The sequence below is a fragment of the Homo sapiens genome, chromosome 19 (genome assembly GCF_000001405.40).
Source record: "Homo sapiens chromosome 19, GRCh38.p14 Primary Assembly".
In the NCBI taxonomy this organism is placed as follows: Eukaryota; Metazoa; Chordata; class Mammalia; order Primates; family Hominidae; genus Homo; species Homo sapiens.
This window is the reverse complement of record NC_000019.10, coordinates 55,992,625-56,007,629: the sequence shown is the minus strand read 5'-3', so window position 1 is coordinate 56,007,629 and position 15,005 is coordinate 55,992,625. Positions and strand designations below refer to the sequence as shown.

The 15,005-nt window shown below is 43.4% G+C and overlaps 1 protein-coding gene across 1 annotated transcript in view; it reads right to left on the bottom strand.

Annotated features, from left to right (window-relative positions):
* The window catches only part of NLRP5 (NLR family pyrin domain containing 5), a 75,036-nt gene that overhangs the window by 54,181 nt on the left and 5,850 nt on the right, over nucleotides 1-15,005 (bottom strand). The window contains exon 2 of the mRNA NM_001433705.1: nucleotides 3,535-3,894. Coding sequence (NP_001420634.1) covers nucleotides 3,535-3,823 — 289 coding nt within the window. The 5' untranslated portion in view covers nucleotides 3,824-3,894. The remainder of the gene's footprint in view (nucleotides 1-3,534; nucleotides 3,895-15,005) is intronic.

Below are 15,005 nucleotides of genomic sequence, written 5' to 3'. Positions count from 1 at the left end.
AAGTATTTTCAAGATGCCATGTTATCTGACTTCTAGTCCCTCCGTCTTCACCTCCTGCTCATTCTCCGTGGCCCAGCCAAACCCTCTGTTAAAGGCTTTGGGATGCCCTGACTTTATGCTCAGAATGTTTTTCTCTACCATGCTCAGGCAACTCCGCCAACTCCTCTTCTTTGTTTATCTCAGCCTAAAGCTTACTCCTTCTAGGAAGTGATTCTAAACTTCCCTCTCATCTGGAATAGGAACTGTAAGACTTTCTATAAAAAAAAAAAAGACAGTCTCAATCTGTCGCCCAGGCTGGAGTGCAACGGCACAATCTCAGCTCACTGCAACCTCTGCCTCCCAGCTTCAAGCGATTCTCCTGCCTCAGCCTACCTAGTAGCTGGGATTACAGGTGCCTGCCACTACACCAGGCTAATTTTTTGTATTTTTAGTAGAGACAGGGTTTTACCGTGTTAGACAGGCTAGTCTTGAACTCCTGACCTCAAGTGATCCGCCCGCCTAGGACTCTCAAAGTATTGGGATTACAGGCGTGAGCCACGGTGCCCAGCCATAAGACATTTTTATATACAATTTTTAAAAAATTTTATTTTAGGCCAGGCACAGTGGCTCACACCTGTAATCCCAGAACTTTGGGAGGCCAAGGTGGGTGGATCACAAGGTCGGGAGATCGAGACCATCCTGGCTAACAAGGTGAAACCCCTTCTCTACTAAAAATACAAAAAATTAGCCAGGAGTGCTGGCGGGCACCTGTAGTCTCAGCTACTCAGGAGGCTGAAGCAGGAGAATGGCATGAACCCGGAAGGCGGAGCTTGCGGTGAGCCGAGATTGCGCCACTGCACTCCAGCCTGGGCGACAGAGCCAGACTCCGTCTCAAAAACAAAAAAAAATTTTTATTTTAAATACGGAGTCTCGCTCTGTCACCCAGGCTGGAGTGCAGTGGCGCGATCTTGACTCACTGCAACCTCTACCTCCCGGGTTCAAGTGATTCTCCTGCCTCAGCCTCCCAAGTAGCTGGGATTACAGGTGTGTGCCACCATGCCTGGCTAATTTTTGTATTTTTAGTAGAGACAGTGTTTCACCATGTTGGCCAGGCTGGTCTCAAACTCCTGACCTCAAATGATCCACCCACCTTGGCCTCCCAGAGTGCTGGGATTACAGGCATTAGCCACACCCACCTGGCCTATACCATCCATTTTTTTTTTAAAATTATACTTTAAGTTCTAGGGTACATGTGCACAATGTGCAGGTTTGTTACATATGTATACATGTGCTATGTTGGTGTGCTGCACCCATTAACTCGTTATTTACATTAGGTATATCTCCTAATGCTATCACTCCCCACTTCCCCCACCCCACAACAGACCCCGGTGTGTGATGTTCCCCTTCCTGTGTCCAAGCGTTTTCATTGTTCAATTCCCACCTATGAGTGACAACATGCGGTGTTTGGTTTTCTGTCCTTGTGATAGTTTGCTGAGAATGATGGTTTCCATCTTCATCCATGTCCCTATAAAGGACATGAACTCATCCTTTTTTATGGCTATCATTCATTTTTAAAGTTGCCCATTTCTTTCTCTCTACCTCATGGAAAACTGCAAATCTCTGACACCAGACATATGAGAATTTAAACATATGCCACGGTAGATGAATGTTAAACAATCAATCTCATCTTTGCCACTTATTAGCCCATGAAGTTGGTCAAGTTATGTATCTTGTAAGATCCTCTATCACAGCTTCAGCCATAGGGAACCCATTTCACTGGGTGGGGTTGAGAGTCAGATGGTGGGGACATGACAGTTTCAGTGCAGTGCTGACTTGATAAACCCTAGCTCTCATTTTTATGCACTCTCTTCCTGGGAATAATACCCACATGCCCTCCACACTGGGCCTTTTTTCCAAGCTCAGGAGAGAGAGCCCTTGAAGCGTTTTGCAGCTAATGCTGCTGAGCTGCATCCAGGTCACGGATGTGCAGGCATGCCACCTGCGCGCGTGTGTGTGTGTGTGTGTATAAATATATATGTGTGTACAGGCATGCCACCTGCGTGTGTGCGTGTGTGTATAAATATATATGTGTGTACAGGCATGCCACCTGCGTGTGTGCGTGTGTGTGTATAAATATATATGTGTACAGGCATGCCACCTGCGTGTGTGTGTGTATAAATATGTGTGTGTGTATATAAAAATATATGTGTATATATAAATATGTGTATATATAAAAATATATGTGTATATGTGTGTGTATATGTATATATAAATATATATGTGTGTATATAAAAATATATGTGTATGTGTATGTGTATATATAAATATGTGTGTATATATAAATATATATGTGTATATATAAAAATATATGTGTATATGTGTATGTGTATATATAAATATATATGTGTGTATATATAAAAATATATGTGTATATGTGTGTATGTGTATGTGTATATAAAAATATGTGTGTATATATAAAAATATATGTGTATATGTGTGTGTATATATGTGTGTGTGTATATATTATATATATATATATATATTTTTTTTTTTTTTTGAGACACAGTCTCACTCCGTTGCCCAGGCTGGAGTGCAGTGGCATAATCTCGGCTCACTGCAACCTCTGCCTCCCGGATTCAAGTGATTCTCCTGCCTCAGTCTCCTGAGTAGCTGGGATTACAGGCATGTGCCATGACGCCTGGCTAATTTTTTGTATTTCTAGTAGAGACGGGGTTTCTCCATGTTGGCCAGGCTGGTCTCGATCTCTTGACCTCAGGTGATCCACCCACCTCAGCCTCCCAAAGTGCTGGGATCACAGCCATGAGTCACTGCATCCAGCCCACACCTGTATTTGTAGGGCCAATTCAAGGGCTCAGTCAAGGGATTTGTTTTCAGTCTACAGTTGGAGAGATTCTCTAGATAAAAAAGAACTGCTATTTTCTAAATGACCTTTCTCCTAAGTACCCTAAAATAATCATAGAATCTGATCCGAATTCTTGCTGCACTACGGACACCAATAGCCCAAGAAAGTCCAAGCCTCAGATGAGCACCTGGAACCTCAGTCCTTCATCCCACGGCCAAGCACGAGACTCGCACCAAACCACTACCAATGTTATCAACCAATGAGGTTCTTAGCCACTTCCTATGCATTACACATTATTGAACTTTTGCAATGGCACACACAGTAACACATTTCCTGTTCCAAGATGTGGGATCCAAGGGTCAGAACAGAAGGAGACATGCCCGAAGTCTCACAACCGACCCGTGATAGCGCCAGAGCTCAAGCTTAGCACTTACAACCCAAATCCTATTAACTTCAATGAAGTCCATGTGGGTGGAGCCGTTGTCTACCCATTTCTCCCTCCTCCATTATTTTACAGGCTAGAGACTACACTAATTTCCAACCAATGACGATGACCAATAGGATCCTTCTCACAGCTCAGACTCACACTGCAGAGGTGGAGCCGGTTACTGAACAACGATTCTTCCCTGTTCCCATGAGAACCTGAAATCACCTCCCCTCCCTGCCCTAGACTTGTCCCAAGTCTCGCTTACTTTTCATGTCATCCCGTGCCTTCTCCGAGAGGGTTCGCAGGTTCATGTTTTCAAAGATGCTAATGGACGTAGCCCAGGCCAGCGATGCTCCATAATACTCATGCAAGAGGAGTGCCAGACATTCCACGTTGGCATTCTCGATTTCAAACTGTGGAATAGAGCATGTGGTCGATTCTGAAGATTTCTTCTTTAGTAATTCCTTGAATGTCTGAAATTCTTCCTTGTCTAGCTCATAGAGACACCATTGCAGCCCGTAGCTGGAAAAGGTGAGCGATTTGTCTCCTTCCATCTTGATACAAGGCTGAGAGCTCAGGTTTTGGGGGAAAAGTGGATTCTTTGGTAATATAGAGCAAGTAGGACCTGTGGAAAGAGTGACAAGACTTAAAAGAGGATCTTGCAGCAAATTCTCAAGTAGATACAACTAACATCAATCACCTCACTAGATGAACGGCCTTCTCTTTTCAATTCTTCATGGACGAAGCATTTGTTGCCACAATATCTGTTTATCCTATTACTAGACATCAGTGCTGGGACATTTTGTTGTCTGTACCCTTAGTTCCCAAACAGCATCTTAGAATAAAATTGGACGTGCATGCCACAGATGTTCTTAGCTAGTATGTCATACTCAAAAACACTGGCAATGGCCAGGTGCAGTGGCTCACGCCTGTAATCCCAGCACTTTGGGAGACCAAGGCAGGTGGATCACTTGAGGTCAGGAGTTCAAGACCAGCCTGGCCAACATGGTGAAACTCCATCTCTATTAAAAATATAAAAAAATTAGCCAGGAGTGGTGGCACATGCCTGTAATCCCAGCTACTCAGGAGGCTGAGGCAGGAGAATCGCTTGAATCTGGAAGGCGAAGGTTGCAGTGAGCCAAGACTGCATCATTGCACTCCAGCCTGGACAAGAGTGAAACTCCATCTCAAAAAACAAAAAACCACTGGCATGTGTCTTTATAGCAGCATGATTTATAATCCTTAGGGTATATACCCAGTAATGGGATGGCTGGGTCAAATGGTATTTCTAGTTCTAGATCCCTGAGGAATTGCCACACTGACTTCCACAATGGCTGAACTAGTTTACGGTCCCACCAACAGTGTAAAAGTGTTCCTATTTCTCCACATCCTCTCCAGCACCTGTTGTTTCCTGACTTTTTAATGATCGCCATTCTAGTTTATAGCGGCACTATTCACAATAGCAAAGACTTGGAACCAACCTAAATGTCCAACAGCAATAGACTGGATTAAGAAAATGTGGCACATATACACCATGGAATACTATGCAGCCATAAAAAAGGATGAGTTCATGTCCTTTGTAGGGACATGGATGAAACTGGAAACCATCATTCTCAGCAAACTATCGCAAGGACAAAAAGCCAAACACTGCATGTTCTCACTCATAGGTGGGAATTGAACAATGAGTACACTTGGACACAGGAAGGGGAACATCACACACCAGGGACTGTTGTGGGGTTGGGGGAGGGGGGAGCGATAGCATTAGGAGATATACCTAATGCTAAATGATGAGTTAATGGGTGCAGCACACCAACATGGCACGTGTATACATATGTAACAAACCTGCACGTTGTGCATATGTACCCTAAAACTTAAAGTATAATAATAATAAAATTAAAAAAAAAAACCTCTGGCAAATAGATTCCTACCAGTTACTAATAACCAGTTACAGGGTTCTTAGATCAGTTGATTTCTGTTACACCTGTTAACATCAGGTTCCATAAACACAGTAAACAGTTTTGGTGTAAAAATAAACTGCTGAATACTTAAAAGTCATATCTGATAAGGGATTTATATCTAGATAATATACATACACTAAAAGGGAGACGATCCAATTTAATATGGGCAAAGGGTCTGAATATCCATTTCTCCAAAGAAGCTATGCAAATGGCTAATGAGCACATGAAAAGATTAATGTCGTAAATCACCATCAGGACCAATTCTATCCCTACCTGCTAACTCATTTTATAGGTGCACGTCCAGGACCTCTGCTATCAATTACCTCCCCGAGTTGTCTAGAAGCCTGGTCTATGATGACATTGAAATGTAGCAGTTGTTATAAGGCCCCAGGAATAATTCCTAAATCTCTCAAATTTCCTTTTTTCTTGTCATTATAAGAGCCCTATAAATAGTGACAGCCAGTACTGGTTGGCCAGTTTGAGCAAATCTCCTTTCCCCCCACCATTACTTTGTGGTAGATGACAAAGCAATCGAAGGAATACCATGTAATAAAACATTTTAAAGACTCAGGTAGACAGCAGCTTGTCATTGTCTGAGGGGCGGTATTGGTGTGAGATCACCCTTGCTTGACATCTGTACATTTATAGTTTTTGAGCTAAACTTGCAGATACACAGTAAAGTCTTGTCATGTCACCTCCCTGGAACTGGAAGCATCCCACCAAAGTAAAAATCAGCCTGTAGGGTTTCTGTTAACACGGATTTTTGGCTCTGCTTGCTTAGACAGGGCACCTGCTTTATACTCCCTTGACCTGCAGGGACAAAGTTGTCCCCAGTATTTAGCCCCCGTCTTTCCTTCTGCCTACCATTCTTTCCATGGGAAAGTTTTAAGATGGGCTTGCTGAGATTACTTCAAGTAATTAGGAGAGTCAGAAGATAAATTATAAAATTTCAAGTAATTAGGAGAGTCAGAAGAAAATATTTAAAGGAGGGTAGAGGTGGGAGACAAGAGCCTAGAAATGTCATGGTAGCTAAAATCTATTCAATAAGCTGTGGTGTTTTTTGTTTGTTTTTTTTTTTAAATGACTGAGTCTTGCTGTTGCCCAGGCTGGAGTGCAGTGGTGCAGTCACAGCTCACTGCAGCCTCGAACTCCTGGGCTGAAGCAAGCTTCCCACCTCAGCCTTCCTAGTAGCTGCGACCACAGGCTTGCATCACTGCACCAGGCCTTTAAAAAAAAAAAAAAAGTAGAGACAAGGTGTCACTATGTTGCCCAGGCTGGTTTCAAACTCCTGGGCTCAAGTAATCCTCTTACCCCTGGCCTCCCAAAGTGTTGGGATTACAGGCATGAGCTACTGCGCCCAGCCAAATTTGAATATTTTCTTCTTCTTTTTTTCTTTTTGATAGAGTCTCACTCTGTCACCCAGGCTGGAGTGTAGTGGCATGATCTCTACTTGCTGCAAACCTCTGCTTCCTGGGTTCAATCGATTCTCCTGCCTCAGCCTCCCAAGTAGCTGGGATTACAGGCGTGCACCACCAGGCCTGGCTAATTTTTGTGTTTTTAGTAGAGACAGGGTTTCACCATGTTGGCCAGGATGGTCTCTATCTCTTGACCTCATGATCCACCAGCCTCGGCCTCCCAAAGTGCTGAGATTATAGGCGTGAGCCACCACACCCGACCAAGTTTGAATATTTCTAACCCTGTTCTGATTTAGTAATTTAATATGCTTTACAAGATGAGGTGGCTGAGCGCAGTGGCTCACGTCTGTAATCCCAGCACTTTGGGAGGCCAAAGTGGGCGGATCATGAGGTCAGGAGATCGAGACCATCCTGGCTAACACGGTGAAACCCCATCTCTACTAAAAATGCAAAAAATTAGCCGGGCGTGGTGGCGGGCGCCTGTAGTCCCAGCTACTAGGGAGGCTGAGGCAGGAGAATGGTGTGAACCCGGGAGTCGGAGCTTGCAGTGAGTCAAGATCGTGCCACTGCACTCCAGCCTGGGTGACAGAATGAGACTCTGTCTTAAAAAAACAAACAAAAAAAAACATGAGGTGATATATGTGGGTACACGTTTTCCCCTGGGACACAGGAAACATGTTATCATGAATATCCTCTATACAGGAAGGGCCTCTGAAAAGAGTGGCGAGGTAGCAGTCCCTGGACAATTGTCATTGAAAAGAGTGGAGAGGTGGCAGTCCTCGGACAACTGTCATTGAGAAGAGCGGAGAGGTGGCCATGCCTGGGCAACTGTCATTGAGAAGAGTGGAGAGGTGGCCGTCCCTGGACAACTGTCATTGAAAAGAGTGGAGAGGTGGCAGTCCCTGGACAACTGTCATTGAAAAGAGTGGAGAGGTGGCAGTCCCTGGACAACTGTCATTGAAAAGAGTGGGGAGGTGGCAGTCCCTGGACAACTGTCATGGGTTGACCACCTCCCTGGAGAAGTAATAGGCTTTTTCCTGCATTCTTTCACTTTCTTTCTACCCCGGGGAGTGTTCTGCTGCAACGGATTGCTAATAACATTGCAGCAGACAGCAGCGAGGGCAGGGGATTCGATCCGTGTGTCATGGTACCAAGGCTGAGGGTCGGTTTCCTCATAGGTAACTCTAAGAGGCTGTCGACGCACGTGGTGATGCTGAGAGCAGAGCAGCAGCTCCAAGTTCAAGTCCTCCTGCAACCTTCATGATAACATCGCCATGGAAAGTAACTGAACATCGAAGGCTGGGCTCTCCTCTGGAAGCTGGAAATCAGAGTACCTGCCTCTTCAAGGGTTACTGTGAGGTTTCAGTGAAGCAACAAGTGAGCCGGTCGGAAGGGCTGGCACAGAGCATGCATGGGAACCCTGAACACCACCTGCTCTAAAGCTACCTGCCAGACCGAGACGTCCTGAGCAGAAGAGTATGTCACGGTACACAAGCGCTCAGGCTTACGACGCTACTGCCGAGGCGGGCAGATCACCTGAGGTCAGGGGGTCGAGACCAGCCTGGCTAACATGGTGAAACCCCATTTCTACTAAAAATACAAAAAATTAGCCAGGCATGGTGGCGCGCACCTGTAACCCCAGCTACTCGGGAGGCTGAGGCAGAAGAATCACTTGAACCTGGGAGGCAGAGGTTGCAGTGAGCCAAGATTGTGGCATTGCACTCCAGCTTGGGCAACAAGAGCAAAACTCTGTCTCCAAAAAAAAAAAAAAAAAAGAAAAAGAAAAAAAAAGATTTAGTAGGATCTCAATTGTGTGGATTCTAAAACAATTAAATTCATAGCAGCAGAGAGAAGAATGGTGGTTGCCAGAGACTGGGGGATAAAATGGGGAAAAAGGAAATATTGATGAAAAGGTACAAACAAGTTTCAGTCAGAGAAATGAGTTTTAGGGATCCCCTGCACAGCATGGCAACTAGAGTTAATAATGATGTATTTAACCTGCCATGGAATTTAAGAAAAGATGTATTAATATATGCTCCAAAATTGCTAAAAGTAGATTTTAAACATCCTCACCACAAAAAGTAACTAAGGCAATGGACATGTTAGCTTTTTTCTGCCATGTATACATATATCTAAACATCGCATTGTACCTCGCAAATATATACAATTATTGTCAATTAAAAATAAAAGTGGATTTAGGATTGCTTCAATTTGTGAATCTGCAGGTGAGGCTAAAGTGTGTGTATATATATATACACATATATATATATATACACACACACACATATATATATATATATATATATATATATATACACACACACACACATATTTTGAGACGAAGGCTTGCATTGTCGCCCGGGCTGGAGTACAGTGGCACAATCTCAACTCACTGCAACCTCCACCTCCCGGGTTCAAGCAATTCTCCTGTCTCAGCCTCCAGAGTAGCTGGGATTTCAGGCACCTGTCACCATGCCCGGCTAATTTTCTGTATTTTTAGTAGAGACAGGGTTTCACTAGGTTGGCCAGACTGGTCTCGAACTCCTGACCTTGTGGCCCACCCGCCTCGGCCTCCCAAAGTGCTGGGATTACAGGCGTGAGCCACCACATCTGGCCTCATATATATTTTTAGAAAAAGTGTCTCACTCTGTCCCTCAGGCTGGAGTGTGGTGACTATCATAGCTCACCATATAGCCTTGAACTCCTGGGCTCAAGTGATCTTCCTGCCTCAGACTCCCCAAGTAGCTGGGACTACAGGTGCACACCCCACACCTGGTTTCTTATATTTTTATAATTTTAGAATGTCTGAAATTCAGGACTGAGATAAGATAAATCTAATCCAATCTTTGGAATTCCTACTTAATTTCATTAAAAGAGGCAAGGTTTTCATTAACCTACCTACCCTCCAGGAAAAGATGTTTTCTGTGTGTGTGTATGCTACCATGGTTGTTTTGATTATTTTGATTATGATAAAACCATTTATAAGAGTAGATAGTACTTCCTGCTCCCTACCTTCAACATTCAGAGAATAAAAAAATATATAGCTTCAATGGATGTATAAATAGTATCAACAGAAACACTTTACAAACCAGGACTAGATATCCTTCAAATTAATTTTTTTTTTTGAGATAGAGTGTTGCTCTGTCACCCAGGCTGGACTGCAGTGGTGCAATCTCAGCTCACTGCAACTGCTGCCTTCTGGGGTCAAGTGATCCTCCTGCCTCAACCTCCCAAGTAGCTGAAATTACAGGTGCCAGCCACCACACCCAGCTATTTTTTTGGTATTTTAACCAGAATTTTTGGTATTTTGGTATTTTTGGTAGAGATGGGGTTTTACCATGTTGGCTAGGCTGGTCTCTAACTCCTGTCCTCAAGTAATCTGTCCACCTTGGCTTCCCAGAGTGCTGGGATTACAGGTATGAGCCACCATGCCCAGCTACCTTTTAAACTTTTACAGAACTTATACCAATTCTTCTCAAACTATTCCGAGAATTGAAGGGGAGGGAATTCTTCCTCATTCTATGAGCCAAGCATTGTCCTGATACCAAAACCAGAAAAGGACACACAAAAAAGAAAACTACAGGCCAACGTCTCTCATGAACATAGATACAAAAATCTTTGACAAAATTCTAGGTAACCAAATCTAAGAACACATCAAAAAGATCATTCCCCATGATGAAGTGGGATTCATCTCAGGGTTGCAAGGGTGGTTCATCAGCAGACTGAAGGACAAAAACCACACGATCATCAAGACATGCAGAAAAAGCATTTGATAAAATCAACATTTACAAGAAAAAAAACAAACAACCCCATCAAAAAGTGGGCAAAGGATATGAACAGACACTTCTCAAAAGAAGATATTTATATAGCCAACAGATACAAGAAAAAATGCTCATCATCACTGGCCATCAGAGAAATGCAAATCAAAACCACAATGAGATACCATCCCACACCAGTTAGAATGGTGATCATTAAAAAGTCAGGAAACAACAGGTGCTAGAGAGGATGTGGAGAAATAGAAACACTTTTACGCTGTTGGTGGGACTGTAAACTAGTTCAACCATTGTGGAAGTCAGTGTGGCGATTCCTCAGGGATCTAGAACTAGAAATACCATTTGATCCAGCCATCTCATTACTGGGTATATACCTAAAGGATTATAAATCATGTTGCTATAAAGACACATGCACACGTATGTTTATTGTGGCACTATTCACAATAGCAAAGACTTGGAACCAACCCAAATGTCCATCAGTGATAGACTGGATTAAGAAAATGTGGTACATATACACCATGGAATACTATGCAGCCATAAACAAGGATGATTTCATGTCCTTGTAGGGACATGGATGAAGCTGGAAATCATCATTCTGAGCAAACTATCGCAAGGACGAAAAACCAAACACCACATGTTCTCACTCATAGGTGGGAACTGAACAATGAGAACACTTGAACACAGGAAGGGGAACGTCACACACCGGGGACTGTTGTGGGGGAGGGAGCATTAGGAGATATACCTAATGTAAATGATGAGTTAATGGGTGCAGCACACCAACAGGGCACATGTATACATATGTAACAAACCTGCACGTTGTGCACATGTACCCTAGAACTTAAAGTATAAAAGAAAAGATGAACAAAGAAAAAAAAATTCAACATCCCTTTATGATAAGACGCAGAAGAAACATAACTCAGAACAATAAAGGCCATGTATGACAAACCCACAGCTAGCATTATACTGAATGTGGAAAAGAAGAAAGCCTTTTCCCTAAGAACTGGCACACAGGGTGCCCACTTCCGCCACTCCTATTTAACACAGTACTGGAAGTCTTAGCCAGAGCAATTAGGGAAGAAAAAGAAACAAAGGGCATCAAAATTGGAGAAGAAGTAGATTGTTCATGTTTGCAGGCAATATAATCTTTCATTTAGAAAAGCCTACAGACCCCACCAAAAGACAGAGAACTGATAAAGGAATTCAGTAAAGTTGCAGAATCAACATACAAAAATGTTGATTTTTGGATAAATTTTTCAGTATGATGCAAGTTTTTATATAATAAATGAACTCAGTATGATGCAAAAATCAACATAAAAACAGTAGCATTTCTAAACACCAATAATGAACTAGCTGAAAAAGAAAGCAATGTCCTTTATAATAGCTACAAAAATGTACCTAGAAATAAATTTAACTAAGGAGGTAAGAAATATCTATAGTAAAACCCACAGAATACTGAAAAAAATTGAAGAGGATAGATAAAAATGGAGACATCTAACGTTCACTGATTAGAAGAATGTTGTTAAAATGGCCATCCTACCCAAAACAATCTACAGATTCAATGCAATCCCTATCAAAACACCAACGACATTCTTCACAGAAATAGAAAAACAATCCTAATATTTGTATAGAACCACAAAAGATCCCAAGTAGCCCAAACAATTTTGAGCAAAAAGAAAGCTGGAGGCATATTACCTGACTTCACAAAGCTATAGTAACCAAAACAGCATGGCACTGTCATGAAAACAGACATAGACCAACAGAATAGATAATTCAGAAATCCATATATTTATAGCCAACTCTTTCTTTTTTAATGTATTTTTCAGGACTTGTTAGAATATTTTAATATTTAAGTTTTTTTAATACTTTAAGTTCTAGGGTACATGTGCACAACGTGCAGGTTTGTTACACAGGTATACATGTGCCATGTTGGTTTGCTGCACCCATGAACTCATCGTTTGCATTAGGTATTTCTCCTAATGCTATCCCTCCCCCAGCCCCACACCCTAGGACAGGCCCCAGTGTGTGATGTTCCCCACCCTGTGTCCAAGTGTTCTCATTGTTCAATTCCCACCTATGAGTGAGAACATGTGGTGTTTGGTTTTCTGTCCTTGCGATAGTTTGCTCAGAATGATAGTTTCCAGCTTCATCCATGTCCCTACAAAGAGCATGAACTCATCCAACTCATTTTCAAAGGCACCAAGATTAGGGAAAGTACACTGTGTTCACTAGGTGGTACTGCGAAAACGGGATAACCATATGCAGAATTAAACTAGACCCCTGTCTCTCACCATATATAAAAATCAACTCAAGATAAAGTACTTAAACATAAGACTTGAAATAATAAAACTACCAGAAGAAAACATAGGGAAAGCTCTTCTGAATACAAGTCAAGGCAAATATTTTGCGGCTAAGACTTCAAAAGGACAGGCAACAAAAGCAAAAATAGACCAATAGGAGTACATCCAACTAAAGAGCTTCTGTACAGCAAAGGAAATAGTCCAAGAGTAAAGAGACAACCTGGCTGGGCACAGTGGCTCAGGCCTGTAACTCCAGCACTTTGGGAGGCCAAGGCAGGTGGATCATGAGGTCAGGAGATCGAGACCATCCTGGCCAACATGGTGAAACTCCATCTCTACTAGAAATACAAAAATTAGCTGGGTGTGGTGGCACGTGCCTGAAATCCCAGCTACTGGGGAGGCTGAGGCAGGAGAATCGCTTGAACTAGGGAGTTGGAGGTTACAGTGAGCTGAGATGGTGCCACTGCACTCCAGCCTGGTGACAGAACAAGACTCTGTCCCCCCTCCCAAAAAAACCCCGCAGAATGGGAGAAAATATTTGCAAAATAATGATCTGGCAAGGAACTAATACCCAGAATATATGAGGAACTCAAACAACTGTATAGCAAAACTCCAAGTAATCCATTTAAGAAGTGGGTAAAAACCTGAACAGACATTTCTCAAAAGACATCCAAATGACCAACAGATACGAAAAAAGATTCAACATTACTCATCATCGCAATCTCACTGTGGTTTTGATTTGCATTTCCCTCTAGTTGGAATGGCTACTATCAAAAAAGACGAAAAATAAATGCTGGCAAGGATGCAGAGAAAGAAACTCCTTTCCACTGTCAGTGGAAATGTAAATTAGCACAGCCATTATGGAAAACAGTGTAGCAGTGTCTCAAAGAACTGAAAATAGATTAATACCCTATGATCCAGCGATCTGGTGATTTACCCGAAGTATATCAAAGGTATGTCTGCACTCTCATGTTTACCACCCCACTATTCACGATAGCTAAGATATGTAATCTACCTAACTGTCCATCAACAAATGAATCAAGAAAACGTGGTATACACACACAAGGGAACATGTTTCAGCCTTCAAAAAATCCTGCCATTTGTGACAACACAGATGAGCCTGTAGCTCTTCATGTGAGCTACAGCCTGTAGTTCATTGTGTGAAGCAAAATAAACCAGGCATGGGAAACTAAATACTGAATGTATTTTACTCATATGTGGGAGTTAAATTGAGCAAATGGGACTATGGAAGTAGGGGATGTAATTGTGGGTATTAGAGGATAGGGGAGAGGAGGGAGAGGGGAGAGGGGAGGTTGAGAGGAGGAGGGGGGAGGAGAGGAGGGGAGAGGAGGGGGAGGGGGAGGGGGAGGGGGAGGGGAGGGGGGGAGGGGAGGGGGGAGGGGAGGGGGGAGAGGAGGGGAGGGGGGAGAGGGGGAGGGAGGGGGGAGAGAGGGGGGAGAGAGGGGGGAGAGGAGGGGGAGAGGAGGGGGAGAGGAGGGGGAGAGGAGGGGGAGAGGAGGGGGAGAGGAGGGGGAGAGGAGGGGGAGAGTATGGCTCATGGGTGCTAAGATTACAGGTAGAAGGGAGAAATGGGTGCAGGTGTTCTGCAGCACTGCAGGTGAATATGGTGAACTATAACTTATTGTCCACTCTCAAAAAGCTAGAAGGGAGGACAGAGTGTTCACAACACAAATGTTTGGGGTGATGAATATGCTAAGTCCCCTGATTTGATCATGATACATTGTATACAGGTATCAAAATATCACTCGGGCCGGGCGCAGTGGCTCACACCTGTAATCCCAGCACTTTGGGAGGCCGAGGTGGGTGGATCACCTGAGGTCGGGAGTTCAAGACCAGCCTGACCAACATGGAGAAACCCCATCTCTACTAAAAATACAAAATTAGCCAGGCATGGTGGCAGGTGCCCGTAATCCCAGCTACTCAAGAGGCTGAGGCAGGAGAATCGCTTGAACCTGGGAGGCAGAGGTTGCAGTGAGCCAAGATTGCACCATTGCACTCCAGCCTGGGCAACAAGAGCGAAAATTCATTTCAAAAAAAAAAAGTCTCCATAAATATGTACAGTTATGTGTCAACTAAAATAAAGGAAAAACTGCAGCAAATGTATCTATTTTTGACAAAGATCAGGGGTCAGCAAATCTCCCAGAAGGAGCCAGGCATTTTTGGCTTTGGGGCCATTTGCTCTCTGCCACCCGTGCTTAGCTGCTCCTGCACTGGGAAAGTAGCTGTAGACAATTTGTCAACAAAGGAGAAAAGCTGTGTTCCAATAAATCTT